This window comes from Homo sapiens, chromosome 3 (assembly GCF_000001405.40).
Source record: "Homo sapiens chromosome 3, GRCh38.p14 Primary Assembly".
Taxonomy (NCBI): domain Eukaryota; kingdom Metazoa; phylum Chordata; class Mammalia; order Primates; family Hominidae; genus Homo; species Homo sapiens.
Window position 1 is genome coordinate 50,368,453 of NC_000003.12, and position 27,655 is coordinate 50,396,107.

General features: G+C 58.8%; 1 protein-coding gene across 6 annotated transcripts in view, besides 9 other annotated features; it reads right to left on the minus strand.

Annotated features, from left to right (window-relative positions):
• The window catches only part of CACNA2D2 (calcium voltage-gated channel auxiliary subunit alpha2delta 2), a 141,632-nt gene that overhangs the window by 5,840 nt on the left and 108,137 nt on the right, over positions 1–27,655 (minus strand). For 4 of the 6 annotated variants that reach the window (NM_001291101.1, NM_006030.4, NM_001005505.3 and 1 more), the window contains exons 4-23: positions 25,657–25,716; positions 19,116–19,160; positions 15,744–15,885; positions 12,543–12,674; positions 12,296–12,353; positions 11,516–11,566; positions 11,273–11,372; positions 10,980–11,138; positions 10,640–10,747; positions 10,463–10,541; positions 9,832–9,881; positions 9,556–9,645; positions 9,280–9,351; positions 9,015–9,089; positions 7,662–7,736; positions 7,511–7,582; positions 7,357–7,428; positions 7,192–7,253; positions 6,285–6,361; positions 1,868–1,928 (exon numbers count right to left, since the gene is read on the minus strand). In NM_001291101.1, the coding sequence (NP_001278030.1) occupies positions 1,868–1,928; positions 6,285–6,361; positions 7,192–7,253; positions 7,357–7,428; positions 7,511–7,582; positions 7,662–7,736; positions 9,015–9,089; positions 9,280–9,351; positions 9,556–9,645; positions 9,832–9,881; positions 10,463–10,541; positions 10,640–10,747; positions 10,980–11,138; positions 11,273–11,372; positions 11,516–11,566; positions 12,296–12,353; positions 12,543–12,674; positions 15,744–15,885; positions 19,116–19,160; positions 25,657–25,716 (1,640 nt within the window). Of the gene's footprint in view, positions 1–1,867; positions 1,929–4,612; positions 4,634–6,284; positions 6,362–7,191; positions 7,254–7,356; positions 7,429–7,510; positions 7,583–7,661; positions 7,737–9,014; positions 9,090–9,279; positions 9,352–9,555; positions 9,646–9,831; positions 9,882–10,462; positions 10,542–10,639; positions 10,748–10,979; positions 11,139–11,272; positions 11,373–11,515; positions 11,567–12,295; positions 12,354–12,542; positions 12,675–15,743; positions 15,886–19,115; positions 19,161–25,656; positions 25,717–27,655 lie in introns of all 6 variants that reach the window. The other 2 variants (NM_001174051.3, XM_011534243.3) reach the window with 1 other exon arrangement.
• Positions 2,819–3,350: an enhancer, noted in NCBI's record as "H3K27ac-H3K4me1 hESC enhancer chr3:50408702-50409233 (GRCh37/hg19 assembly coordinates)". NCBI's record gives its function as "activates a minimal SCP1, AML or CMV promoter by ChIP-STARR-seq in naive H9 embryonic stem cells {active_cell/tissue: H9 hESC(naive)}" and the evidence as "EXISTENCE:reporter gene assay evidence [ECO:0000049][PMID:30033119]".
• Positions 4,073–4,242: an enhancer, noted in NCBI's record as "experimental_70577 CRE fragment used in MPRA reporter constructs". NCBI's record gives its function as "activates a minimal promoter by MPRAs in K562 erythroleukemia cells, with activity observed for both the introgressed and non-introgressed 3:50410041 variant alleles {active_cell/tissue: K562}" and the evidence as "EXISTENCE:reporter gene assay evidence [ECO:0000049][PMID:34662402]".
• Positions 11,710–11,879: an enhancer, noted in NCBI's record as "experimental_70587 CRE fragment used in MPRA reporter constructs". NCBI's record gives its function as "activates a minimal promoter by MPRAs in K562 erythroleukemia cells, with activity observed for both the introgressed and non-introgressed 3:50417678 variant alleles {active_cell/tissue: K562}" and the evidence as "EXISTENCE:reporter gene assay evidence [ECO:0000049][PMID:34662402]".
• Positions 19,310–19,914: an enhancer, noted in NCBI's record as "H3K4me1 hESC enhancer chr3:50425193-50425797 (GRCh37/hg19 assembly coordinates)". NCBI's record gives its function as "activates a minimal SCP1, AML or CMV promoter by ChIP-STARR-seq in naive H9 embryonic stem cells {active_cell/tissue: H9 hESC(naive)}" and the evidence as "EXISTENCE:reporter gene assay evidence [ECO:0000049][PMID:30033119]".
• Positions 19,915–20,519: an enhancer, noted in NCBI's record as "H3K4me1 hESC enhancer chr3:50425798-50426402 (GRCh37/hg19 assembly coordinates)". NCBI's record gives its function as "activates a minimal SCP1, AML or CMV promoter by ChIP-STARR-seq in naive H9 embryonic stem cells {active_cell/tissue: H9 hESC(naive)}" and the evidence as "EXISTENCE:reporter gene assay evidence [ECO:0000049][PMID:30033119]".
• Positions 20,520–21,124: an enhancer, noted in NCBI's record as "H3K4me1 hESC enhancer chr3:50426403-50427007 (GRCh37/hg19 assembly coordinates)". NCBI's record gives its function as "activates a minimal SCP1, AML or CMV promoter by ChIP-STARR-seq in primed H9 embryonic stem cells {active_cell/tissue: H9 hESC(primed)}" and the evidence as "EXISTENCE:reporter gene assay evidence [ECO:0000049][PMID:30033119]".
• Positions 25,826–26,381: an enhancer, noted in NCBI's record as "H3K4me1 hESC enhancer chr3:50431709-50432264 (GRCh37/hg19 assembly coordinates)". NCBI's record gives its function as "activates a minimal SCP1, AML or CMV promoter by ChIP-STARR-seq in naive H9 embryonic stem cells {active_cell/tissue: H9 hESC(naive)}" and the evidence as "EXISTENCE:reporter gene assay evidence [ECO:0000049][PMID:30033119]".
• Positions 26,382–26,937: an enhancer, noted in NCBI's record as "H3K4me1 hESC enhancer chr3:50432265-50432820 (GRCh37/hg19 assembly coordinates)". NCBI's record gives its function as "activates a minimal SCP1, AML or CMV promoter by ChIP-STARR-seq in primed H9 embryonic stem cells {active_cell/tissue: H9 hESC(primed)}" and the evidence as "EXISTENCE:reporter gene assay evidence [ECO:0000049][PMID:30033119]".
• Positions 26,938–27,492: an enhancer, noted in NCBI's record as "H3K4me1 hESC enhancer chr3:50432821-50433375 (GRCh37/hg19 assembly coordinates)". NCBI's record gives its function as "activates a minimal SCP1, AML or CMV promoter by ChIP-STARR-seq in primed H9 embryonic stem cells {active_cell/tissue: H9 hESC(primed)}" and the evidence as "EXISTENCE:reporter gene assay evidence [ECO:0000049][PMID:30033119]".

Consider the following 27,655-nt stretch of genomic DNA (forward strand, 5'->3'; position numbering starts at 1 on the left):
ATTCGGGCAGCTGCTTTCTCCTGGGCATGGCTCCGCAGAGCCTCCCGTCTCTCCGGTGTAGCTGGACCCAGATAGTGCACCTGAAAGGCCCCAGGAAATGCCTGGCGGCCTGCTCATCCACGTGTATGCCCTAGAGCATTCCCATGGGCACCAGATGGGACCCAAGTACAAGCACTGGCTTTTTGTCAGCCTAAGACCTCACCCTGCCTCTTCCTGGCTGTGTGCCGTTAGGTAACTCACTCACGCTCTCTGACCCTCGCTTTTTTCATCATAGCACAGAGGGTGTCAGAAAGTCAGTGGGAACATGTGGGTCCTCCGACTGGCTGTTCCCTCTGCCTGGAATGCTCCTCCCCTCAAGACCCTCACTGCATTCAGGCTCTGGGTCCAGAGAACATGGGGCTGTGGGGCGTGAGGGGGTCTGCTTGGGGCTTGCTGCCTAGGAAGTCTTGGGAGCAATCCCTCTACCCTGATAGGTGGAGCTCTCTCTCGCTCGACCCCTCATTCATACCTCTGCCACCAGGGACCGCTTCATTGTCCCATATGGCACTAACTGTGGGGCTTTTGAACGTGTGCCACTTCCCCAAGCTGTGGTAGGGCTCATGGCTTGGTAAGGGCACATGGAACTGGGTCTCAGGCCCCACTCTCTCCTTGGCCCCCAGGGCCTTTGTGCAGTGTACAGCCTGCACCTCTGTGCCTAGAGGCCACATTGGACACACCCAGGGTGACACCCACACGACTGTGCTTGAGATACACCAAGTCACTTGCAGTCTCTCCTGTATACACAGTATGCACGTGCACATTTGTGAGGTACTTCATTCACTCACCCTCCACGTATTTATTGAGCTCTTCTGAGCCACAGACACAGAGATGACAAAAACGAATAGGGTCCCTGCCTTCAAGAGAGCTTCCTCAGGGTCATGTGGGCCACATAGGTCTTTTCACACCTTCCCACATTCACTAACACACAGAGCCACCCCCACATTTATGCTCAGACTCTTACATATGTACATGGTGACTCACAAATACACACATCTACAGAGAGAGTCACAGAGAAACTGGGTGCATGCACATACGTGCACACACGAAGGTGAGGCATGTCCAGAGCCCCCGTGTGCTGCCTTCCAGTGCCCCTGGGTCTCTTGTCAGCTGCATCCACCCACCTGCCCTCATCCCAAGCCTGGGTCATGGAAGGGCTTCAGCACCCAGGGGACCCGGCCTCCCCAGACATGGGCCAAAGGCAGACGGTGTGTACATGAGAACGTGTGTGTGCACACTGAGCGTGCACTCCGGGATGGTCCAGGCCTGGGCTTGCTCGGGGCCCCGTCTCCTCATCTGATGGAGCAGCTCCTCAAAGCCCCCACTCTCCTCCCCCAACCCCCCAAGTGAAGTACCACGCCTAGACCCGGCACTGCCGACAGGGGCTCTGGCTGGCTCGGCCCCCAGACCCACACGAACACCGACTGACACAGGACAACGATGGGGTGCGGGGTTGGGGGGATGGGCAGGACACCACAAACCAGAGCAGCAGCTGCCTGGCGAGGGGTGGGCATGCCACAGACAGCCACCCCAGGGCGGAAAGGGCTCCTGCCTGGTTGCCTGGGAGGGCAGGGAAAGTCAGCAGATGAGTCTGGAGCCCTCCTGCCCCGGCCTGGTGGGAGCTAGGGCCGTGAGGCAGCTGGCCACTGCTGCCTGGTGCGGTACATGGCCTGGGTATGCACACAGCCGCGCATACCGGGCGATGTATGGGGGCCGGGGGATGACACTGCACAGGACACAGACACACAGAGCTCCAGGCAGCAGTGCAGGAGGTGGGGCCGGGGCGGTCAGGGTAGGGGAGGACACCTCAGCAAGGCCACACGCAAGCTACCTGGGAGCAATGAAAACGTGTCCTTCAGACTCAAAGCTGCTGGGGAGCAGGAACTCAAAATCTGCAACAGAAACGGGGGGTTATCCGGCGGGGGCTGGGGAGGCTGGAGGCCGGGGGGCTCAGAGCTGACGGGGCTGGAAGGACAGGGGAGAGGGGGGCTGGAGGGAGGGGGAGACACCAGCAAAGAGGAAACCCGCCATTTCCACGTCCAGGAGCCAGAGAGAAGGGACGGGCAGGGAGGGTGGAGGGCCTGTGGAGACTACAGCATCGCAGGAGGAGGGCAGTTATAGCCAATATGTTGCCCGGGCCTGGTCCTCTGTCGGCAGTGAGTCCCTTGGCGTGGCTGTATATGCTTCCATACGGCTGTATAGCACATATACACGGACACACACACACACATATATATACACACACTGCTATATATATGCATGGTCTGGGGGAGGCGCCAGTCTCGCTCTTATCACATCCATAATGGAAAAAACCGCATGCTGAGCTTCCTTTGCCTCCAAAGAGACTTTGAGGAAGGGAATTGGCTTTTGGCTGCGGATTTTTCTCTCTCTTTCTTTGCCGCAGCTGTTTGCGTTTTGGTAGGTCTTGCTTTTGTTCTGTGTCAGGCATCAACATGGCCAAACCGAGGGGGTTTCTCACGGGCACAAACAGTCCAACCAGAGACGGGTCGGGGCAGCTGAGGGTTCACTGCAGTGCATTGTCGGGGCTGGTGGTCCTCCCTGGGCTAGGAGGTGAAGGGAGACCCTCAAAGTGCCAAGGAGTGTTCCCACAGTGTGGGAAGAAAGTCTGAGGAGCTGGAAGGAGGACAGGGGTGCTGCTGGAAACTGTACCTGCTTCCCTTGGCTAAGGGCGTGGAGACGGGCTGGGTCTCCACCCTTCCTAAAACCTGTCTGGGCTCCAGGCAGCCATGGGGGATGCTAGGGCTCCAGAGAGGGCATAGGGCTGCTGTTGAGGCATCCCCAGTTGGGCCTGTGCCCTGGGCTTATGAGCTGTGCATGTGTGGGTGAGTGAGCATGCATGTGTGTGTGTGTGTGTGTGTGTGCCTAAGTGTGAGTATCTCTGTATGGGTTTGAGAGTGAACCTGAGGATGTGGCCGCTGGGGCTCCTCTGTGGCCTCTCCCTGCCCAGCTGGACTGGCCACCTTGCTGGTCTGCACCTGGGAGGGGTCCCTCTGCTCTTGGCCTGTCTCACTGTGGGTGGTCCACCTTCTTAGCCTGTCTCCACTTCTGAGCTCTCTTTTGCTCCCAGGGCTTTAATTGTATAGAAGACAGATTGTCCCTGATACCAAATACTCCCACAATGCACTGCAAGATTCTGGGGAAGGGGGCACTTGGGGTGCTTGGAGGGGCTGGGCAGTCACTGGTTGGACTGTTCCTTTCTGATAGGACTGTGAGGCAGGGTTTGGACACAAGCCGATGGGGAAGGGGTTGGGGGGAAGAGGAGAAGGAGGAAAAAGAAAAAGGAGGGCGAAGGAGCAGGGAAGGAGACTATGCTATGTTGTCATTGTTACTAGGGCCCTGCATTTCTGGGGTCACTGGGTGGGATGTGCGGGGGTGGGGAGAAAAAGACAACTCAAGCCAGTGGGAGTAGGGCACATCCCCCACCCCCGCCCTGGCCACTGGAGGTGGCTCTGATCCCTTTATCCCCTTTGCTGGACTAGGCTGGACAGGGCCCCTAGGGCTTCTTGGGTGCCCCTGCTTCCAGGTCATGGGGACATCCTCTTGTGGCTCTCCATGCCCCATCTGCCCAGGGATTCCCTGGGAGAGGTGGCTCTCTGAGACCTTTGTAATGCTGTCCTCTCTCACTCCCCTTACTCTCTGCCAGGGTCTAGGGGTTCACTACCCACTCTTCCAGAAGTCTCCTTGGCTTAGGCACCCCAGTGTGCCAGAACCCTTCCTTTCATACCCAGCCTGATTTCCTCCAAACACCTTTGCTGGCTCTTGGGGTCTAAACAGATCCCATTCCATCCCTGTCCAGGCCCCTGGTCCCCAAATCTGGTTTTATTTCCCCAGGGAAACACCTTTTCCATACTGCCAAGCCACCCCGGGGCTCAGCAAAGCCTCTGGAAGCAGCGGGCCGGCAGGACACGGGGACATCAGCACCTGTGTCAGTGCCCAGGAGGCGCGGGTCAGCCCTGCTCTTCAATGGCTGGGGCCTGCCCTATGCTGCCCTTTGGCCCCAGCATCAGGGCGTGAGGCTTCTGAGCCTTCTGCCTCCCTTCTTGGAGGGCTGCCAGCTTCTGAAGCTACTGCCAGAGATCAGAGGAGGGAGAGCTACCTCAGAGTAGGCCTTGTGGGCTGGCCCCTTCCCACAGCTTCACATGAGCCCCACTAGGGGCTGATCTACCCCCTGCATCTCAGGCCTCCAGCCCTGCTGAGTGGGAGGTGGTGGAGAAGCGTCCAGACTGTCCCTACTGTTGAGTTGTCTTAGAGGGACAGAGAAGGTGGGGGAGGCAGGGGCCTCCCCAGAGAGAGTGAGGGGTCCAAGGAAAGGGTTGTGGGCCCTGAGAACACGCCGGAGAACACCCTGCAGGCAGGGCCAGGGGCACAGGCCACTGGCTCTCATAGGGGCTTAGGAATCAGAGGAAAGGCAAGAACTAGAGGAGCCAAGGGGAAGCTGGGAGGGGGCCCTGGAGAGCAGGGGTTTGGCTGGTCCTGGGCAGGGAGGGGGGCAAGCAGGGGCGTGAGGATGGGAGGGGTGGGAAGAGGAGGGTGCACTGGTTCTGAATATACTTGCCCTTCAGTTTGCTGATTGGCACTGGGACAGTCCACCAAGAGAGAAAGCGAGGAAAACAAAAACAACACAAACACAAAAACAAACGAAAAGGGGGAGGGAAAGGGGAGGGGCACAAACAATATTTTATTCAATGGCTGTTTGAATGAAAATATTGTGTCTCATCATCATACCGAAAGGAAACTTCTTGCAAAAAACGACATGAGAGAGAAAGAGAGAGCAAGAAAACTCAAAGGAGATGAGCCCCCAGTCGGCCAGGCAGGTGGGGGGCGCCCGGTGGGGCCGGAGCCCCAGCCTCCCTCCCAGTGACCTCGGGCGTGGTGGGCAGGCAGGGCCACAGGCTCTAGAGACTCTCTCAGGAGAGGCCCAGGATGAGCAGGGCATGCAGGGGTGAGCCACAGGCAGAGGAGTGGGAGAGGCAGGGGAGGAAGGAGGGGGGCCAGGGAGAAAGCAGGGAGGGGGAGGGAGGAGGGGGATGGGGAATGAAGGAGGGAAGAAAGAAGGTGAGGAGGGAGCCAGGGGGCAGAGCGGAGGGAGTGTGGGGAGTGGGACTGAAGGGGGGGGGGTGCTGGGGTGGGGAGAGCGGGAGGGAGGGAGAGTGAGAGAGAGAGATGGAGGAGGTGAGCAGGAGAAAGAGGGAGATAGAGGAGATGCAGGGAGAAGAGGAGGGAGAGAGGGAAGAAGAGAGGACAGTGCGTAAGGGAGGGAGGTTGGATGCAGAGGGGAGAGAGGTAGGAAGTGAGAGGAGAAGGATGAGAGGGTAAGTGGGAACTGAGTGAGGATGGATGAGGAAAGAATGGAGAGGAGGGGGCAGAGAGAGAGAGAGGCACCATGGGAAGGGGGCACCACAGGGGTAGAGAGCTGAACAGGAAGAGAGAGGAAAGAGGGGAGGGGAGGGAGAAAGAGGGGAGGGGAAGGGAAAAGGGGGGAGGGGAGGGGGGAGGAGGGGAGGGGAAGGACTGGAGGGAGAGGAGGGGAGGGGAAAGAGGGGGAGGAGAAGGGGAGGAAGGGAGAGGGAGGAGGGGAGGGGGAGGAGGAGAGGGGAGGTGGGATTGGGGAGGAGGTAAGGGGAAGGAGGAAGGAATTGAAGGGAGGGGGAATAGGTGAAGGGAAGGGAGAGGAGGTGGAGGGAGGAAAGGGGAGGGGGGAAGGTGAGGGGAGGGGGGATGGTGAGGGTGGGGGGAAGGGGAGGGGGAAGGAAAAGGGGAAAGGGAAGGGGAGGGGAAAGGGGAGAGGAGAGGGACAGGAGGAGGGGGAGGAGAAAGGGGAGGGTAGGGGGAGGAGGAGGGGGAAGGGGAGGGGAGGGGAAGGGGAGTGGAGGTGGGTGGGGAGGGGAGGGGGAAGGTAAGGGGAGGGGGTGTCTTCCAAGAATGCAGCCCCCAGGAGTGTGTGGGGCAGGCAGGCTAAGGAGGGAAGACACGGAGTAGGAGAAACCAAAAACAGCAACCTCAACAGAAACCATGAAAGAATGGTCTGGAACCGAATCTGAGAAAAGGCAAGCATGCAGATTTCCACAGACTTTCGAGGTGCCCCAGCCTGCGGGCACCTGAGGGTGGGCAGACTGGGCAGGAGGGACTGCCTCGCCGGCAAGCGGCGCTGGCTATGCTGCCTGGGGCCGGCCAGGGTGCGGGGCAGAGGCAGGGTGCAGGGCGCAGGCAGGGGCCGGGCCACTTACACTTGACCTGCAGGATCTGGTCACTGAGATTGGCTTGGAGGTAGAAGGTGCTGTAGGGTGGGAGCACCAGCCCCAGGCTGAGGGGGGAGAAGCTCGGGTCACGGCTGGGGGGAGGCGGGCCACACTGGCACCCCCTCCCCATGGCCTTGGAGCTGGGCAGAGGCCCCAGCTGCAGCATCCCCTCCTCCCACCACCAGGGACCCCTCTCCCCGCTTAGCTGCAGGAGGTTCATGGTCTAGGGGCCGGCACCCTGGAGGCTCTCCACTTCTCAAACTCTCCTGGGGGCCACCGGGCAACCAGCCCCAAAGCAAATCCCCACACCATCTCCCCTCCCAGCAGCCTCTCACAACAGCCCCCTGCCCAGCCAACCTCCCTCTGACCCACAAGGGGCAGACGCTGCCGTGAGCTGGCTGCAATGCCAGTGTTGCCGTGGGAGTGGGGTCACCAGCCCCCAGATACTCAAAGCCAGCAGAAAGCAGGGCTGGCGCAGATATGGTGGGGGCAGGGGGTGGCAGTTGTGGGCTGGCATGGGCTGTGAGGATGCCCCGGCATTTCAGGATGGACTAGCTGTGTGGGGCAGGCAGAGGTCAGCCTGCACTGACCCAGCCTGACACACAAGGGACCTCCTCTGCCCTGAGACTGTGAGGCAGGCTGACAGCATGCCAAGGGCAGTATCCTGGGATGAGGAGACTTTGGATGACTGTGCTGTGCTCTCAGACCTGCTGCTTGTTCCTTAAAAGCCAGGGAGTCTCTTGGCAGACTAAGCATCTCAGGGTGAGTAGTGAGCAGCCCTGGCCACTGGTGCCCCACTGGGATGGTGGTCACAGTGGGAGAGGGAGGGGACAGCTGGGCTCAGATTCTGGGGCCACCCCACCCTCTCTGCCCGCCCAGCCCTGGCCTCACTTACCTGTAGTTAGTGCTCCTTATAGGCACCCAGGTGTAGTTCCGTGTCACCTCATCTATGTACCTCTGGGAGAGGAGGCTGGGTCAGGTACTTGGGCTAGCAGGCAGGGGGCGCTGGGGTAGAAGGGTGCCCACCCTGACTCCCTGGCCCCCAGCCCTGCCTCCTTACCTCATCCAGGGACTTGACCAACGTTCTGATCTGCTTGTGGCCCTTGTTGCCATCAATCATGCTCCGACGGATCTGGAAGGGCCAGAGATGTGAGGGGCAGGGCCCCTACACTCCTCTGCTCTGTCCCCCACCCCTGTTCTCCTCCTCTCCTTACCTCTTCCTTGTTCTCATCCTCTAGCTCCGCATCCAGGAAGTCCAGAGTCACAGGCTCCCGGAAGTTGGTGGTCTGTTGGAGGCAGGGTGGGAAGTCAGAAGTCCCCATTGTGGAAGGTTTGCCCACCCTCCAGGCCACCCGTCTGGCTCACCTGGGGCTTGAGATTGGGGTGCAGCAACACGTAGCCGTTCAGGTCAATGGCAAACACATAGCCGTTGGCTCCAAGCTGGAGGCACAGATTGGGGGCTCAGGGTCTGGAGGGATGGGCTGGGGTTCCCTGGGCTCCGGAGTTCTTCCCTATTTGGCCTCCCACCGCACCGAGAGATTCTGTTTGCCTGCCTTGGGCTAAGGGCCCCCCCATGCCACGTGGCCCTAAGCCTGTCTCTCCAGCCAGGCCCGCAGGCGGGTTGCCCCTTGTGCACCAGCCCTTGCCAAGGCTAACCGGCGTGTGGGCTGCTGCTCTGCAGTCCTCATCCTCTCCCCCTGGTTCTCATGAGCTGTCAGTTGTCCTGACCTCTCTGCCACCACCGGCCCCACAGGTCTGCTGCTTCTGTACCCCTGTGGCCCTCCTCTAGCCACTACTGCCCCTGATTTGTGCCTCCTCCTTGTCCCCACGTCAAGAGAGAGCAGCGGGACGAGTGGACCCTTCGGAATCCTACCTGGGGCTTCCCTTCCAGGTGGAAGGGAAGTAGGAGTAAGTGGGACCTGGACCTAGCCCTTACCTCCCCCAGTCAGTTTCTTACTGTACCTGGAGGCCAACTGCCACAGCCCCTGCCCACTCAGGGCCAAGCAGAGGCTTCAGGGGGGCTCAGGCTTAATGATGCTGTTGTACATACCACACCTCTCCCCCTTCCACAGGCCAAGATGCAGACTCCCTGACCGCAGGCGCTGGGCCAGCCACAATGCCATCTTGCCCCTACCCTGGTTTATGATTGTTTTTCACCTTTGGGCCCTTGGCCAGAGAATTCCCTCTGCCTCCAATGTACGCCATCCCCTCCTTTCCTTTCTGCCTGGGACACTCCTGCCTATGTGCATGGGCCAGGTCTGGCCTGCTGCCCATTACTATGTGGCCATGAGCTAAGAATGGTTTTATGTTTTTAAATGGCTGGAAAAAACATCAAAGGAAGAATTCTATTTTGTGACATGTGAAAATTATCTGAAATTCAAATATCAGTATCCACAAATAAAATTAAATTGGAACATAGCCATGCCCATTGTTTATGTTTTGTTTGTGGCTGCTTTCACAATACAACAGTGCAACCGAGTAAGAGATGGGTATGTAGGTCTGCAAAGCCTAAAATATTCAGTCTGGCCCTTTACAGAAAGTTTGCCAACCCAAGGTCACCTTGTTCTAGACCCAAGGTCACCTCCTGGGGAAGCCTTCCCCGACCCCTGAACTCAGAGGTCTCCATGGAGGCGCTGTAATACCCATCAGTCTTCTCTGCTGAGCCTGCCTGTGTCCACATGGGAGGCAGGGTACGCGGATGGGCAGGGGGATGCTCACCGTGTAGTTGGGGGTCAGCCTCTTGATGTCATTCAGAGCCACGTCAATGCCCATCACGCCCAGGATCAGCTGGTTCTGGGAGCAGAAGCATGGGGGGCTCCTCAGTGAGCTCAATTCCATGGGGAACCACCCTCCACAAGGCCTCAAGCTGCTCTCACAGGCAGTGTGCAGGCCTGCCCTGCCCCTCTTCCACCCTCAGACCTGCTGTGGGCATGCCCATTCCTCCCCAGGCACACCCATAGCCCCAACCCTCCCCTTTCCTCACCTTCTTTTCCCCAGGGCCATCCTGTGTCAGGTTGAAAACAGGGAGGGTCCCTGTTACCACCAACCCCAGTCCCTGAAGGGAGAGGAAGATGATGGAGTCACCTGTGGCCAGCACTGACCCCACCCTGAGTGTTCAGAGCAGGGACTGAGGTGCAGGCCACCTCTTTCTCCTGTGCTTGGTTTACCCCATAAGGGGGCCCTCCAGGGTCTTGACCCTGTGGGCACATCTCCGGGGGAAGGGTGCCAGCCCCACCCCTTCCTTGTCCAGAGGCCTTACCAGTGCATCCTCATACACGTTGGTCCACTGCACCTGCTTGGCCTCCTTGCCTGCCAGCACCATGGGCCTGCCCAACACATCTAGATATTCCTGGGGAGGGGGCAGTGGTGGGGGTAATGAGTGCCTTTCCCAGGCACTGCCTGTTCTGTCTCGCCAGGCATTGGGATTGTGCCCCAGCCACTGTGAGGGGGCGCCCTTGGCCCACAGCAGCCCATGGCACACAGCGTCCCTGCAGGGAAGCCAGGGGCTGGGAGGAGGGGCCTCCCCAAGTCTCACCTGTGTGTTGATGCGGATGGCTCCGATGGAAGGGATCTCAAAATAGTAGCCTGTGAAGGAAGGAGAGGCAGAGGTGGGCCTGGCTGGCACTGCAGGATCCATGTGCAGAGGGCCCTGCCCCTGGGGTGTGTCTGCAGCCCTGCCTCGCCTCTTGGGCTCCTCTCTTTTTGGGGTCCTCTCCCTCTAGTGCTCCCGGCCTCTGCCCTGCCAAGGGCGGTGCTATGGAGAGGGAGTGAGTGCAGCAGTATCAGGAAGCAGAGCAGGGGGCAGAGATGGGGAGGGAGGAGCCTGAGGTCTGAGGTCCCTCATTTTAGGGTGCAATGCCATTCAAAGTCCACCCGGCAGCCAGGCCCAAGTGCACAGAGAGATGGACGGATCAGCAAACAGACGCAGGAGTAGACAAGCTGGGGGACGGTTGGACAATGGACAGACAGACGGGCAAAAAGAGGCTCAGTTAGGTGGACCCGTTAGCCCCCAGATAGAGTGAGGGACAGCCTCGTGGATGGGAGGAGGCACACTGTCTTGCAGCGGGTGAACACACAGCTGGACATATGGATGGCCAGTTGAACATACGCAATCGACAAAAAGAAATGGCAGGCAGGCCCCTGACAGTGATGCGCAGGGGAGGTACCTTTGTTGGCACAGGCCATCCACTGCAGCGGTGTGACGTCATAGTTATGCTGCCCCACGGAGAAAGTAAACACGCGCACCTGTGGGGGGTTTGAGGTTACTGCTGTGGCCACCAGGGGACAGCCCTCTTCTGTACTGGGCCCAGGTCAGGGTAGCCCCTGCCTCGGTTGAGCCTCACCGTCCGGTTTGGCCAATTGTACTTCTCAAAGACGTCCTGCACGCGGTCCTCACCACCATCCGTGAACATCATGATCATCTTGTTGCAGTTGGCCCGAGTGATGTTGGACTGAGGGGAGTGAGGCGGAGGCAGGCAGCTCTCAGCCCTCCCTGGTCCAGGGGCAGGGCCTCCCTCCCGCAGTGGGCCTGGACCTCTGGCCCTCCTCCCCCACAGCAGATGGAGCTATCTGTCCAAGCTGCCTGTTTGGTGCTAACGAGGCCATCCGTCTTGATTTCCTGGGTACACCAAGCCAGGGCCCTCTACTCCCCCAGCCGCCCACTTGCCCACCCATGGGGCTCACGTTCTGCAGCTGGTCAAAGGCATACTCAAAGCCGGCCTTGTAGCCTGTGGTGCCCTTGGCCACCATGCCCTGCACAGCTTCCTTGAACACCTTCTTGTTGCGCACATTGGCCTGCACCAGGTGTGTGAAGCATGACACAGGCTGTGCCTTCTCGTTGAACTGCAGGAACAGTAGGGTGGTGAGTGGCCTCAGGCTGGCCGGGGTAGGCAGCTATTGCATGGGGCTGGTGATGGTCACAGGAGCAGGGCAGATGGGGTGACCCATTTCACCCCGTCTGCCACCTTGGCACTCACCGAGGCCACATTCACATAGTCATCATCAGACAGCGTGTCCAGCATCTCGCAGACAGATGTCTTCATCAGCTTCAGGGTCAGGCCGCTCACACTGCCACTCCTGGAGAGGTCAGGCAGGGGACGTGGAGGAGCCAGGGGAACCTCACGTGTTCTCCTGCCCATCCCCCAAGATGTTCAGGGCAGCAGAGTCTAGCCCATTGCCCGTCCCTGCCCCAGCCCCACTTGCCAGCACTGCTCACTCACACATCCACGATGATGACCATGTCTTTGGGTGACGAGGCCCCCTGGATATACCTGCCCAGGAGATGCCTCTGTTAGGGTAAGGCCCACTGGGACCTTGTGGGTCCTTCCTTCCTTCACATACATATTGATTCAATACATTTCTCTTGAGCATGCACTGTGTGGGCCAGGCAGGGTTCTATGCACCGATGATACCACATTTAACGAAACAGACACAGTCCTTGCCCATGACATGAATGGTCTGGTTCCTCAGCAAGGAAAAAGTACCAGGGGGTATATGAGCAGGTGATCCCCAGAGGGGGCAGGAGCCACATTCCCTGGCTTCAGTGGCTTGTTGTGTCCTCTGCCTCAGGTTGGGGCCCCGAGGGCACAGTCTAGCTGTGTATGGGATGGTGCAGGTGGCAGGGAAGGAGAGTCACAGGGAGCTGCCGGAGGGGCAGAACAGAGGGGAGGGATATCTGGGGCTCAGACGGGTGGGGCAGGGACTGGCCAACCCTACAGAGGCTACATCTGCCTTTGGGGACCCCTTCTGGTCCAATCTCCCTTCCAATCTCTCAGTCCTGAGTGGGTGGGGGTGCTGGGCAGTGGACGGGGGGCATGGCAGCTGGGAGGCCTGCCTGGGTGATGGGATCCATTTTCCAGTGGCAACCATGTGTGAAATGAAAATTGGATACAGCTGGCTGCGCCCTGCTAGGAGGCTTGGAAATGGGGAGGGAGGGGAGCAGGCAGGAAAGGTGGGGAACTGAGGGGGTGTCCCTCCCCAGCCCCTTCTTGCTCGCTCACCAGGGTCTCCTTCGGACATCGTACAGGTCGATCTTCTTGGGGGCTCGCCACGGGGTGGCTGAGGGAGGAGAGAAGGTGAGGGGGACTGGCAGGAAAGGGCTGGCCTGGGTAGGCAGACCTTGCAGAGGCGACTGGGCTGCCACAGACTACAGAGAAGCCACCCCGCCCCATGCCCCCAGGATGGGTGGGCTGGTAGATGGAGAAAGGCGAGGTGCTGGGTAGACAGGGGACAGGGGCTGGTACCTACCCGGGTAGTAGCGAGTGACTCCTGTGGCGCTGCCGAAGACCTGCCACAGCAGTGTGGGGTCTTGTCTGCGGTTTTCCATGAACACATTCTCCAGGGCCTCTGTCCAGTTGAGCTCATTGAGGATGACAGTGGCTGGGGGGAAGCGGGGAGCTGGGGTGGGGAGCACCTGGGCTGTGTCCTGTCGAACCCACCACCACGACACTCATGCCTGTGCCCCCATTTAGAATCCCCCAACTGTTCTCGGCCTATCCAGGCCCTCCCTATTTCCTAGGGCCCAGCTGGGGCTGCCCCAGCTCCTCCAGGAAGACTTTCTGATCCTCACCCCTCCCAAGCTGTGAAAGGAACAGTTCAGCCTACTCTTCCTCCAGGTCCCACATGAGCAGGCAGGGCAGCTGTGGCTGGTAGCCTCTGGAGAGGGGCTGCCCAGGTGGCTGGGTGCTGGGAACTCGGAGCCCTCAGTCCAGCATGCTGCCTGGAGCTAGCACTGGTCCCCCAGGAGCTCACCCATTCAGCATGCACTCCAGGCTTCAGCCACAAGAAAGCAATTAAGGGCCTGCTGATGGGGCTGGAATTATTCAGCTATTAAGTTACCTGATAAGCTGGAAGCCACTCAGCTCCATGATTAATCAACTGGGGCCAGAAGCAAGCAGGGGTGGGGGCGGGGGCTCTTGGAGGGGCAGGGGCATGCCAGATCCTGCTTCAACACAGGCAAGTGTACTTGTACACGCATGCGCACACTGCACACCCCCCAACAGGTATACCTGTGTCTAACCTGTGTGTTTCCAGCCAGATGGAACCCACCTGCCTAGCACCCCAGCTGCCACCATGGGCACAAGGGCACACACGTTCATGCCTACACACCACTCTGCACCTACAGGGGACACTCATGGGTCCTGCTCACAACCCCCTACCATCAGTTACCCCATTCTCCCTTCCCCCCAACCCTTGTAGTTGCACGTGTGTGATCCCCTGTCCAGATCTATCCCTACACACACACACACACACACACACACACACACACACACACAAACAAGGCTCCTCTCAGAGAATGGACTCCAATCCTGCGGACCCTTCAACCTGGGCAGAGATCCAGGATGGTTTGAGCAGTACCCTCGACCCCCAACTCGGGGCGGCCTGATGTGTGTGTGTGACACATGTTCTCATGTGTGCAGTGACCCTGTCCCTGGACACTAGGACAAAACGGCAGGAGTGGGACACAGCTGCTTCTGCCAGGCCTCTGTGCCTCCTTCCTCCTTCAGGGACCCCCACCCTCTTTCTTCCCATGTGGAGCCCAGCCACCGTCACCCCGTACAGGGATCCCCATCAAAAATCTACCTCAAGTGAGCACCAGAGACCACCTGCAGCAGGCAGACAAAGGTAGAAAGCATGATTTACAGTTCTCTAGCCTCTGCTCCGGCCCTGGGGCACTGACACACTCTGGGGCACTCTCCCTCGGGCGGCCCCTCTGGAGCGTGGAGCCTCTGCTGCGTCCGCTGCCTGATCCCTGCCCCCTGCTCCCACTCCCTTCGCTGTCTGTTCCTGTGGCTTCCCGTAACTGACCATAATGTGAAAACAAAACACATTTCAAGCATTGGCTCTGCTTATTGAACAGTATGTTATGGTCCTGTTCCTAATTTAGAAACTTAGTGAGTTGAACAATTTCTATTTTTCTCTCTAAGGAAAAAATAAAGCCAGGCCCTCCAGAGTTTCACACAGTACTGTTTGCCCTGAGAGAGTCTGCCTGGCAGGTCCCACCCCTCACTGTGTCTCGGTTTTCCCATCTGCATAATGACAGGCTTAGAGCAGAGGGGTGTCCCTGGTCCAGGTCAAGGGCCAAGAGGAGACCCCTGCTCTGCGTGGGCTGTCCATGCAGGTACCTGTGACCCCACACGCGCTTACCCATACACGGCAAGGCACACTCGCGCAAACACCCCTGCGCCCGCCTGGAAAGGGCCTGCTACTCAGCCCCATGCGCACAGACCCGTACCCACCTGCACATACTCTCAGATCATGCTGAGTTGGGAAAGGGGACCATGCCCCCTTAGGCAGGTGATTACAGATTTAATTAAAAGTGACACAGTAAATAAAAAACATATAAAATGCAATTTATGTGGGTAGCGAGGGGTGACTGGAGAGGGCGGTGTGGCTCCTGTTTTAATTAGTGTGCCTGCCTGTGATAGTGCCCCTCGACTGGCTCGGGCAGGTGGCCTGCGGGCAGCCTGTGGGGAGCAGGGGGGAGCATCCTTCCCCACCCTGGCCTGAGGCTGCCCAGAGGGCCTAGCTGACCCCGAGATGGAGAGGGCCTCCCTGAGGACCCTGGGAATTCCCTGCATTATGGAGCTGAGGCAGTGGCTCTGGGGCTTTTGAGTCCCAGCCCAGTGGGCTCCTTGGATTCCAAGGCTACTCTGTAGGTGCCCATAGAACTGTGTCAGAAACAACAGGCCTCAGTGCCTTCAATCCTGCTGCTGGAGCTCCCCATCCAGTGTTTGACTCTTGGTTTCCTCCTCCTTTACCTCCCAGGAGCTTCAGGAAGTTCCTCCTCATGTCTGACTCAAATCCTTCTAGCTATAGTGACCTCGTTTCCCCATTGTGTAAAGCTGCCTTGTCCCTGAAGCTTGGACTGTCAACCACCCTCTTCCACATCCCCCTTCCTTATATCCCCAGCTCCTGGCTGCTCTGGGCAGGAAAACTCCCTACCTCCTTGGTTCTATGCCCAGGAGAAGGAGGGTAGTGTCATAGGGTTGGTATCTGTGAGGGGTGGTTCCCTGTCCCCCTACCCTCCGTGTCCACCTGATGTGTTGCAGCTTGTCAACCACTCCTACTTGGGGGCAGGGAATGGGGAAGGGTGGTGAGGAGTTGCTTCAGGGGCAGGCGGGCACTCAGTCCAACATGTGGGGAACGGTCTCTGTGTGCGTGCATTTGTGTGGGTGCCTGTGGACACGTGGGCAGGAGACCATGCATGCACAGGGATAGAGGCTCAGTGTTTTGCAACTTGCTGAGTGTTAGGGTGAGGCTCTGCCTGTAAGTGCTTGATGCCCACATGTGGGTGAATCTGAGAGGTGCGCAGGAGTAATCTCAGGTGTAGGAGGCTGGAGGTAGATGGCACTGGCCTTCTGTCCCCAGGGACTCTGGAATGCCCTGGCAGTGGGCCTGCCCCCACAGCAGGTGGGATGGGCTGTCCCGATTGCTCTGCACACTCACAGCCTTTGTAGATGTCCGTAGGGATCTGTACAGCCGCGTATGAATAGTTGACCTTGTTCTTGAAGTTTGGGTCCTCGATGAAGTCCAGCCTTAGGGTGCTGGCCTTAGACCCCCTTTCCACATCCTCACTCTCAGGGTCGTCCTGCAGAAAGGGCACCCCCGAGCAATGTCAGGGCTGGAAAATGGTGAATTGGGTTGTAGAGGCCTGCAAGTAGGGGCAGGGAGGGCCAGAGTCCAGGAGATAGGGGCATCTCAAAAAGAGAGACTATTGCAGTAGGAGACACAGATGGAGAGACTCAGGGACAGATGGACACGGGGTTGGACCCCTCACCCAAGGGGCCTGTGACTCCCATCTCCCCCTGCCCACCCCACCCATCATCCCCACATTTGCTAAACCCAAATTTTAAAACCGAAAGGAAACCAACCTCTTCTCCACATTCTTGAAAACCAATTAGGAAAGGAGGCAAATCATGGAGCCAATCAGAAGGAGCAGGCTCCAGAATTCTGCTTACAAGGATGTGCTTGTGCAATCACAGGGAGGCCTCAGCAGTCCCTCCTAGGAGCTCAGGGCCCCCACAGCCATCACTGGGTCCTGCCCAGCCCCTTCATGGAGTTCCTCTGGGACCAGGGAGAGGGCCCTAGCCCCATCTAAGGCAGGGCACTATCCCCTGCAGCCGGATGGCTCTAGGGTCTGAGCTGGGGAGGCTAACCTGGGAGAGCTGGGCTGGGGGCTACCATTCAGATCTGCTGACCTCCAGAGGGAGGGTCTGCGGTGCCTGGTAGCAGTAGGACTGAAAGGGCCCCTGTTGATTTTCTAAAATGAGCCACAGCAGCCTGACAGGTGCCAATTATGGCATCTCACGGCCGGGCAGGCTGGGCATGCACCGTGCGCCCCCGCCCACCATCACAGGCTGGCAGGAGTGGGTCTGTGACTAGTGTTGATGCTGCAGCCGATGGGAGGGGGGCAGGCTTGGGTGCAGGTGTGCAAGGGGGAGGGGAGGGAAGATGGTGGTAGAGAGTGAAGGTGAAGAGGAAAAAGCCAGACTGGGGAGGCAAGGGAAAGAAGGAGGCTAAGGGTGGAGAGCAAAGCTCGGGGGCTTCCTAGGCTGATAGGAGAGATCATAAGCAGCTGAACACCCCATACGCTCCCTCACTGCCCCTCAAAGCCTCTGTGACCACCCTCAGCCCAGGCTTAGCTCATTCATTCTCCCCCATGGGTCCACGTGGGCTGACCCCCGCTGCCCACTATGACCTGGGCATGCCCCTCCCCTGTGTTTCTGCCTCTAGGCATTTGACCAAGCTGTGTCTTGTCTGGGGAAAGGGTGACCGTGCCTCTCCACCCAGCCAGATGCGCTCTCCACACCACAGGGGTACGGCTCTGAAGGGCCTGTGGCAGACACTCTTTTCATCTCTTTGAAGGTGGATTTTGTACAGCAGAATCCAAGCTGTCTGCTGTCCTCCCACTGCCCTTCCGCAGTGTGCCACCCATCTGCCCACCCCTGGCACACCCTAGAAGCCCTCGGGTGCTGGGTAGAGCCAGGGCAGGCAGCCTCGGAGCATGGAGGCCAGAGTGGAAGCGGCCGACTGTGAGGCGTGCGCCACTCACGTTCCGCTCAGAGGAGGGGGAGGCGCGGGAGAAGAAAGCCCCCGAAATGTCAGCGGCAGATGAAGGGCACTAGAAAATTTAATCTCCCAACTTTCTCAACTAATGTGACATTTGGATTCTGTTCTGATAAGCTATCAGCTGGCGAACTTCTTCCTTCCTTTTCTTTCCCCCACCCCCACCTTCTGGCTGGTAATTTAAAAGTAAATGGTCTAGAAAGATATCTAACTGTACCTCTGGCAAAGATTAAAAAAACAAAACAACACAACAAGCAGGGGAGTTGGAAAATGTGTGCGTGCTGTCATTTATACCAGGCGTTTGGCCTAGCTGACCCTAGTCTAGCCAGGCCCCAGAGTGAAAAGCTCTCTTTTCGGGCAATCTCTAGCCCCCCAACAGAAGTCCAAGGGGCTACGGGCAAGGAGTCAATGATTTAGAGTGAGGGGTTGGGGCCCTGGATACAGTTGAGGCTGCTGGAGGTAGGTTCAGAGCATCCTAGTAGGGGTTGGGCACCAGGCTGTCCAAGGAGCCCCTCAGTGCCAACCCCCAGCCCAGGGGCTTTGTATGGTGGGCAACTGCAGTCTCCTGGTTTATATTTAATGCACTGATTGCTAAAATTACAGCCCGCTGCTGAGGGGGGTAAGGAATTAGATTCAGGGTCTAATTAAAGGTTCGCTCTTCATTTGAATTTCAGATTCCAGCTTTAATTTTAGCAACTTCTCTGGGAGCCACGGAGCTCAGCCAAGGGGAAGCACACCTGCTTGAGCCCACCCCGCTCCGTCTCGGGCCCTGTGCCCTCCTGCGGCTCTCCCAGGCCAGCCTGGCACTGTGGATCCTGCACAGGGATCCTTTCCAGCCTTCTCACCTCCTGGTGTCATTGGGTACCTCTCACTTGCCCCAGGAAACCCACCAAGCCCGCAGGCCTAAGAGAGGAAGACTGAATCTTGGGTCCTCTGAATCAGCCAGCAGTCTAGACACTGTGCTGCTGTGACACCTCTGTTTACAGAGGGGACTGTTGGGTCCAACTACTTTTGCCTTAAAGTCAGGCAGAGGGTCTTGGGCCTTGACAAGCTCAGCAAACACCGTCTACTCCAAGTGCCCTACACCCTCAGACACTCGTCTTCTCTACAGCCACCTCCCCTGCAAATAGTCATACAGCTTTCACACGAGTCTTCTGGTGATGGGGACCTCACTACCTCAGAGGGCAGCCCGGGCGGACTTGAGCCAGTGAGTGACATGGAGGCAGAAGGGTGGTGTGGCTTTGGGCTCTCTGGTCAGTCCCAGTGCCACCACTTCTGAGGTGGGTGACCCTAGGTGAGCTCAGGGTTAGGGTCTGATGATGGGCCAGGCTGTGGGGTGCTCAGCACAGGGAAGGGAGCTGGCCTGACCTGGAAATGCACCTGGACGTTCCTGCATCCTGCTCACACCTGCCCACCTCCAGGAAGCCTTCCCAGCTGCTCCCTGTCTCCCTCCTCTCACTGCACTTAGAGAGGCTCTCTCCATCTGGGACCTAAACTGCCCCGTGCGGGAAGGGCCAAGCGCCTCACCACCTGCCTCACACTGCAGTCAAGCTCAGCCCACTAGTGCACAGAGATGCAGCCCTGGAGGGGTCCGGACTTCTAGGGAGTTGTGGGAGGTGGAAGGTGGGGCCTGTGTCACCACGGCTCTGCAGGGTTGAGCTCAGAATGTGTGGCGCTGAGTCCTAACATCCATTTTACAGCCAAGGCCACCAAGGCCCAGCAAGGAGGTGTGGCTCAGGAGGGGGTGCTCACCAGCTCAGCGTCAGCCTTGGCGTCATAGTACACGATGTCTTCCTCCTGGTGAGGGGAGAGAGGCCTCAGCACTAGCTGCTCAGGGTCCCGAGACAGACAGGACTCCTAGCCCCAAGGCCTGCATGGCACCCTTAGATTCCTCTGGGGCAGAGACTGTCCCTTTCCCCCACCCAGAGCCCCCCTCCTGGAAGGGCCGGATAGGTCAGGGCTGAGAATGCAGCCAGGCCTATCTTCAGGGGCCCTGCACAGGCTCCAGGAGCATGCAGTACCCCTCGACTGAGAATTCCCTGGGCCTTCCTAACTCAGGGGCCAAGTGTCCTGGGCTGCAGCCTTCTAGGTTCTGTCTGCAGAGAGGCTGGCTGAGGCAGCACCAGGGAGTGAGGAAGACGGAGAACAGAGCCGAGTTTGGGCAGGAGGGAAATAATGACTCGACGCCGCATCTTCCAATTTCTTCTATTAAAAAGCCTGCTCATTACGGGCATGTACTTATTAATTATCTGTGATTTGTTGTGAAATGCGAGGGGGTTTCCACAACAGGAGTGGGAGAAAACAAAGCCCAGCCCTGGCGCCTGCCTCCCAGCCCTCACCCGCCTGCGTCTGCCCCGCCTGTCCCTGGCCCATGTCTGCTTGCCAGTCGCCTGGGTTCTTGGCCATCTGTGCGTCATAATCACCGGCCGCCCCGGGGACCCGTAACACAAACGGGCTAATTTCATGTGTAATGATCTTTAATCAGAACCGAGCGCGGCTGACAGAGGCCGCCAGAAGGTGAGCCCGGTGTCAGCCAAGTGCCATTGGCTCAGGAGGGTCTGCCACACTCTGCCCCCATGGGCTTCAGGGCCACGACTCAGGACAGAGCTGCTGTCCAAGTCACCCTCTCCAGGTGCTCCTCAGCCCTGTTCTGTACGGCAAAAACCTGCAGCGTGGCCCCAGTGGCCCCTCACTCACTCAGGGCTTGTTTCTTTGAGGTCTGCAGATGGGAGTGGTGACCAAGTCTGCCACCCAGGGGCTGGCTGTGAAGTGGCAGGCAGAGCCAGCACTCACACCACCAGCGCAGATGTCGCCCGGACACCCGCTTCCCAAGGCCCAGCTGGGGCTCACTCAGTGTGTGACCCCAGGGCTAGACCACTCCCTCTCTGAGCCCCAGGCTCCCCCAGGCAGGACTCTGGAAAGGGGCCTGGCTGTGGTGACTGCCCACGGGCTCCGTCAGTACCTGGGACTGTTTCAGTGAACAGTCCTAGTCTGTCTCTCACCAGGGGTCTAGGGGCTGCAGGCCACTGGCCAAATGTGCAGGCTTAGTCCCAGCATTCTGCAACACTGACTGCATGCCTGGCACCACGCATGGGTAAGACCACAACTTCCTGAGGAATGTAAGGCCAAAGGCAGCCCGAGAGTTCCAGCATCCCAGGGCGCCTGCCGTGTCTGGCGCTTTCTTACAGCAGCCTTATGACCCCATCGGTCAGACGTTTCGAGAGCAGGGAGAAGAAAGCCTTCGCACCCTGGCTCCAACCTGCCCTTCCAGCCTGTTGTCAACCTTGCCCACACCCACCACCCACCCACCAGTGCAAGAAGGCTGCAGCCCCGGTGGGCCTGGGGCGGGGGCGGAGGCCGGGCCCAAGCTGCAGGGTGCTCGGCCTTTCCCTGCGCCCGGCTCCGACCGAAGCGCATAATGAAAGCTGACATTACATCAAACACAATAAGGAGTTTCAGTTGACGAAGATCATTCCTGAACACACAAACCTATTAAACTGAGGGGGAAAAAATATCAATTCAACACACTTGCTGTGAAAAGAAAATGTGATTTGTTATCTAAAAGGGGGTTATAAACACAGCTCTGATGCTCTTTCCCTCCGTAATGAAAGCGGGCGGGTGCGGTGGGAGGACTGCAGATTACAACCTGGGGCCTCACTCACCCACTTTTTAGGCAAACCTTCCACAAGCATGGGAAAGGACACAGGTGGGGGCTGGTCACTTGCAGCCCTCAGGAGCCCTAGGCTCCCCTCACAGGCTGTGGCTGGGTCCTGCCTGCACCTGGGTCAACACTAGGCACCTCAGCGTTCACTGGGGCCACCTCTCCAGCTGCTCCAGGGGCTCTGCTTCTCTATTTGTTCTGCTGTTTCACAGTCTTAGTGGAACATCAGATATTGGTGGCGTCAGGGACATGGGGGGACATGTCACCCAGGAGGATTCTTAGTCCCCTGCAGATGACAGATGAGGCTCAGGATTCTGTATGGTCTCCCTGCCCCCCAGGGCTTGATGCATGTGGGAATGACCGCTCCCGGCCTCTCCTGCCTCTAGGAGGGCGAGACCATGCCCCTTCCTTGGTAAGAAGTACATGGATGGTGGCACACAAGGTCATACATGTGAAAATATATCATAAATACAGCTGTGACTGCTATGCATGATGTGGTGTGGAGCTGGGGGTGTGGCGGGAGGGGGCTGTCAGGGTCAGGGTGGGAGGGTCCCTGAGAAGGCCTCTGTCTGCTTGGGCCAACACAGTACCTGAATGTCTATCAGCAGTGACCACCTCCTGGGTTGAGCAACAAGGAGGCAGTATTCTCTAGTGACTGAGTGCAGGACCTCAGCAAAGAGTCCTGGCCTCAAATTCTGACCTGGACACGTGAGCTCTGGAATCCTGGGCAGTGAGTGAAGACTGAGGCTGAGCCAAAAAGGACCCAGCCTACTGGCTTGTCCCAGTGGCCTGCTGAGGAATTCCAGGGGTCACCCGCGAGGAGGCAAGGCTGCCCAGTTAAATCATGCAGCCTCCATGAGGCTTCATCTCTGGGTCTCTACTTCCCCACTCGTAATATCAGGATGAGGAGGCCTCCTCTGAGGGTATGAAGAGAACAGGGAGCTGGGCCTCCCCAGGGGTAGGGCCAACTCTGCCCATGAGTGGCCACCTTCTGTCTTTGCAACTCCACAGCCCAGAGGAGAGGCTGAGTGTGGAAGAGTCCCGGGTGGAGTGAAACGGGTGTCCTTAATGTCTGGGGACCACTCCCCTGACATACCCTGTGTTATCTGATATTTTAGGGGCCATTTTGCCCAACTGGGTAGGAGTTGGGGGAGTCACCCACTCTGAGCTCACACACATGCCCTCCCATGTGGACTTGGGCACACAGATAACAGGCGAGGGGCGGGGCAGGAGGGTCCACGTGACCCTTGTGTTGGTGACATACATTCTCCTTAGCAGGAGCCAAGCCCAAGAGAGGTGTGAGGAGGGTGGGTCTCAGGGAACAAGCTGAGGAAATGAGCACGGGGTGAGCGGGGGAAGGACAGTTGCCATCCAAGTTCAGTGCTTGGAAGGTGGCTGCCAAGGCCTGGCCAGACATGACTGCCGCCTGCCCACCAGCTGCCTGTGCAGGCCTAGGCCAGCCACCCGCTGCACCAGTGAGGACGCTTGGCCTTCCTGCCCTGGCCTAGTGCCAGCTCAGCCTGGCCAAGAGGACTGTTTTCTGAGAGAGCCGTCTGTCGCTGGCTTGGCAGAGGCAGGCAGGGGCCCTATGGCTGGGTCAGACCCTCAGGTCAGGAAGGCCACCTGTCCTGTCCAGCTGGCTCTTCTAGCCTGGCCCAGCCCCCTCACAGCCCTCCCTCTAGTCCCTAGGCAGAGCTCCATCCACTCCCACCATCACATTCCCCAGGGCAGGGCTGTGTCCTTCCCTTACACTTCCCAGGGGAGGGCTGTCTCTTCCATTCCACTCCCAGCTCATGGCTTTGTTTCCTGTAGGCCCTGGTGTTGGCACTGAGGCCCTGGGGCCAATGGCCACTCCCCCCTCCCCTTCCCACGCCCTGGCCCAGCTCCTCCCTGGTGGTGGTTTTGGTGGCACACAGTGTTGGCATAGTGTGGTGCTGGCACCAAGTGTGGTCCGGCAGGTGGCCCCTCTTCATCTATCCTAAGTGTTATGGGCACCAGGGCACCTGCTGCCCACCTGTGGGGGCATGGGAGGCACTGCCTGCTAATCAGGGCCATCGTTTCCCTGGTGTCCAAGGGTCTGGGTTGGCCAGGGACGAGGAAGGGGGATAGGAGCTTTACATCCAGGCATTGCCCTCTTGATCTCTTGTCCCAGCTCTGACCCTGCAGACTCCAGGATCCCCAACCCCCCAGGCTGAGGTCAGTGGAGTTGTGGGCATGTGGATGTGGGTTATACCATTGATACCATTGTCTGTTCCTCAGAGGTTTGCATCTGGACCTGCTGTGTGCTGTCAATACAGGGAGGGCCACACCCGGCTGATGGTGCAGTGGATTCCAGTCTGGCCACATGGGCCAAGCATCTCCTCTGTGGCCAGAACAGCTGGGCGCCATCCTCCCCATCTCAGAGGTAAGAAGACTGCTGCTGGTCACGCTGTCACTGCTGTGGGCTGTGGGGGCCGATCTTAGGGTTGGGGCTAGAAAAGGGAGTCCTGGGCAGACATCTGGAGAGAGAGGCTTTGCACTGAAGGAGGGGTGGATAAGGGCATTCCTAGGAAGAGGGCCTGAGTTTGAGGCTAGAATTGTGGCACAGGCCAGGTGCCTCTCCTGAGTTCTGGGAGGGAACATGGCTCCTTGTCTGTCATCTCCTGAAGGTCATTGGAAGGATGTGGTTTCAGGGGTGGGTGGTGTGCCTGCAAGGGACAAAACAGCATCCCTTCCCAGCCTCAAGTCCCTGCACCCTCCCCTGGCATGGACAGTCCCTCCTGCAGCCACTGCTGCCAGCAATCCCTGGCAGCCCGAGCATAGCTGGCTGGTGTTGGGCTCTTGGATACACCATTAGCATTGATGCCTTTCAGCCTGGCAGCTGTGGTAGCAGCAGTGCTTCCTGGGAAGAACAGTGACCCAGCAGCTGGGAAGGAGGGAGGTGACTACAGCCCCACCCACCCTACCTGGGACACCAGTGGGACAGGCCGGCAGGCACCCGGTGGGATGTGGCAGGGAGGCAGATGAACAAGGCCGGGCCCAGGTGGCCCTGTGGTCAGGGCTGCCTGTGGTCACACCCACAGCTGGGGGCACCTCAGGTCAAGCCAGGGGGAGGGGAGCAGCCAGAGCCCTTTACTGCCTCATCTCAGGACAGAAGTACTCAGGGCCCAAGGGCTGGTGTGGCCAGATATGCACCCATGCCATCAGCGGCTTGGCACCCACATAGCCTGATGTGTGCAGTGATTCCTTCACACCCCATAGCTGAGCTCACAGGCAGCACTGGCACCAGTCAGTCCTTTGCCAAATGGGGAAACTGAAGCCCTTGCCTGGGTCCCACAGGGACTGTGAGCAAGTAGCACTGGAGTAGGAGAGAGGGAGAGAAGGGTCAGTCCTGTCTCCTGGGGAAGGGGGACTGGTTTGGGGAGTAACTAGCTCATTCATTTGTTCACCTTAGAAAATAATCTTTCATTTCCAATCTCATGTGAACTCCCTGAGGGCAGCACCCAGCACCTGCCAGGGGTAAAGGAAGAGTGCCATGGTGTGGGCAAGGTGAGGCAGCCTCAGCATGGCCTGGGGGATGGGGACTGGGGAGGAGGAACAGATTTAGGGCTTGGAGCATAGGCATGAGCCCCTGACACCCGACAGCCAGCTGTGAATCTCTGCCACCAACAGGTAACCTCGGGTAGGTCTATCCACTCTGTGCTTCTGTTTTCTTGTCAAATAGGGACAATAACCCCACTGCTTCCTAGAGCAGATGTGCCTGGCCCAGAGCTGGAGTGAGTCAGGTCTGCCACCCCCACCCTGCTCCTCCCTGTGTTTAGCACAAGAGTACTAGGAGGCATGGCCCAGACACCCCAGCAGCTGTGGAGGACACAGGAGCCCTGCCAACTAGTCTGGTTCTCAAGGGTTCCATCATCCTTGGCACTGGGGCTTCCTTGAATCCAGGAGGAGCCCTGCCTCCGTCTGATGCTGGCCCGAGGGCCGGTATCCAGCCCCAGGCAAAATCAAACACAGCAAGGAATTGGTGAGGGCAACTCAGGCCTAGGCTGGGATGGGTGAGGCTCCCCTTCCCTCCCTCACACACTAGATCCTCTGCGCTCAGCTTCTTGCACCTCTGCTCCAAGGAGCGAGCCTGAGCTCCTTCTGAGGTGGAAGGAGAGGCTTCTGTGACCATGGCAGCCCAGTCCCCTGAGCCCAGCCTGAGGGCCTCCAGGGTGGACAGGTTGCTGTTCAGGGAAGTCAGGGAAGGGAAGTCAGGGAAGGGCATTTGGTCCCCATTTCCCAGCATCTCTTGCAGGTCACTGTATTAAAGCCTCTGACAAGTCCTGAAGTCCAAAGGCCTCTGACCCGGGGGCTCTCCAAGAATCTGAACACCTTATCTGGGGAACACAGGGAACACTACTTTCAAGCAGCCTTCCCACTCACGGGTGACTCCACAGCTCCTCTGGAGTGAATGTGGGCTCATATCTCACTGTGTGCCCAGCAGTGAGAGGCGCCTGGAGTAATTGCTGAATGTTGGACACCGGCTTCTGGCTCTACTCCACAGACCCCTCTGTGTCCCTCATGTGTCTGGGCAGCTCCCACCCCCCAGCATTCAAATCCACGCATGGATGGGCATGCCCTAAGTGCTGGGCAGGGTGCTGGGGTTCCTACCTTGATGTTGTCCTGCCAGCGGTGTGCTTTCTGGAAGTTCTCTGCAGCATCAGCCAGTCTCTGAGGGACAGAGCACAGGGAGGTCAGAAGCGGAGGAAGGCAGCCTGCCCTATGCCCACCCCAAAGCCTCTCCATCCCCAGCACTCCCTGGGGCCAGGCTGGACTGGTGACTCCCTTCCCCTCATCCTACGAGACCCTCAGAGATTCTCTGCCCCAGACACTCCCCAGCTTGCTGTGTGGGCACCTCCTTGACCACAGCTGGGTCCATGCAGGAAAGGTGAAGCCTGTGCAGTGACCCCAGGGGCATCTCCATGGGACTCCCTGTACTAGGCCAAGCCCTAGTGTCACTCTCTACCCCCGACACACTTGTGTCACCCCAGTGCCAAGAGGAAGCTCCTCTGGAGCTAAGGCTGAGCTGCAAGTTACAAAGTGCTTCACCTTGCCCTGCCCTTCTGACAGCTATCCAGAGCTCCACAGGAGGGGCCCACAGCCCACCCTGTCCATCCAGGCCCATGGGCCCTCTCCCAGACTTCCTGAGCCCCTTCCCACAGGGCTCCCAAGCCCTCTGTCCACAAGAGCCTGTCCTGTTCTTTGGGGCTGGTTCCAGTGGCCTCTTCCAACAAAGCCCCTGTGCCTGAGAGCAGAATGTCCCTCAGGGCATAGCTGTGTGTCTGTCCATCCCACATCTGCCACTGGGCACGCTGGGTGCCAGACTGTGCTGACTGGTGGAGGTGTGGCAGGCCTGGTCCTGCCTCTTGCAGCTCACAGGCACAACCTCGCAGAACCACCATGGCAGGAGAGGTTGAGGGACAGGAAGCGCAGTGCTGTGGGGGCTCGGGACCTCAGGGAAGGCTTGCTGGAGAAGACGCTGGGGCCCGGCCACCCTCTGGGCCTAAGTCCGGGTCACCCAGATGTTCTTATTTGGTACTTTCTAAGGATCCCTTCTCTACAGGAAACCTTGGGGCTCCCAAGGATGGAACTGAGTCTGGCCTCGGGGGCCTTCTGCAGAGCTGAGAGCAGTGATGTCCTGTCAATCATAATGACAACCATCACTATCAACTGGCCACCTACTGCACACTGAACCCTCCCCTGGCCAGTGACTCATGTGCTGTGCACCTTGTACCATTCACAGTGTGCCTGGCATGGAGCCATTGTGGCCCTCCTCAGATGAGGACGGCCAGGCACAGAGACGGCCAGCAGCCTGCCCAAGGTCACATGGTGAGTCCGGCTCAGGCTGGGCCCCGGAGCCCAGCCCTCACCAATGCATTTGTCTTGCTCAGCCCATGACCAAGATCCAAGGACCAGCCTCTGTTGGGCCCACCATGCTCAGTGAGGTGGGTGGCTCTGGTCTCTCACCCCCACCCCACCCTGTCCCACAGTGGGGCAGGCACGTCCCACCTCCGGGCTTACAGCCCTACTCAGAAGGTCCCGCCTCTTGGTATTCAGGACACCTCACCCCCATCCTTGAGTCCAGGCCTGATATGGCATGTGGGCCCCAGAGGGGACGTCCTACTAAAGCCTGTCAGCTGCCCATTAGGGGAAGTGGAAGTCAGGTCATGGAGGCCGGCATTTCCTCCTCTGAAGCATGGACTAGCAGGGCAGGGAGGAAGGTGGGGCCTCCTATGGAGCTGTGGCCTCTGCTCTCCTGGGGCAGAGTGTCACAACCCCATAGTTAGAGGGGCTGTCCAGGGCCATCTCCAGCCCCATTGGGCTGGCTACCCCTCCTCAGGCCAAGAACACTGAGTGGTGGGGGAGGCTATGAGGCTGGGGTCCCGGGAGCAGGGGGAGAAAGTGTCTCTTGGGGTCAAACCCTCTCACCCCACAGAGCTGGGCCCTCCTGGCCTCTGCTTCCCTCTCCTTTGTAGGCTCAGTCCTCTGTCCCCTGCCACCCTTAACTGCAAGGCCTGCTTGGCTGGGACCCACACCCTCCTCTCTCCCCAGCCCAGCCTCACACTCCTAGGGTTTTGGGGGCCCCAGGCCTCTCTACTCCGTGATGCCT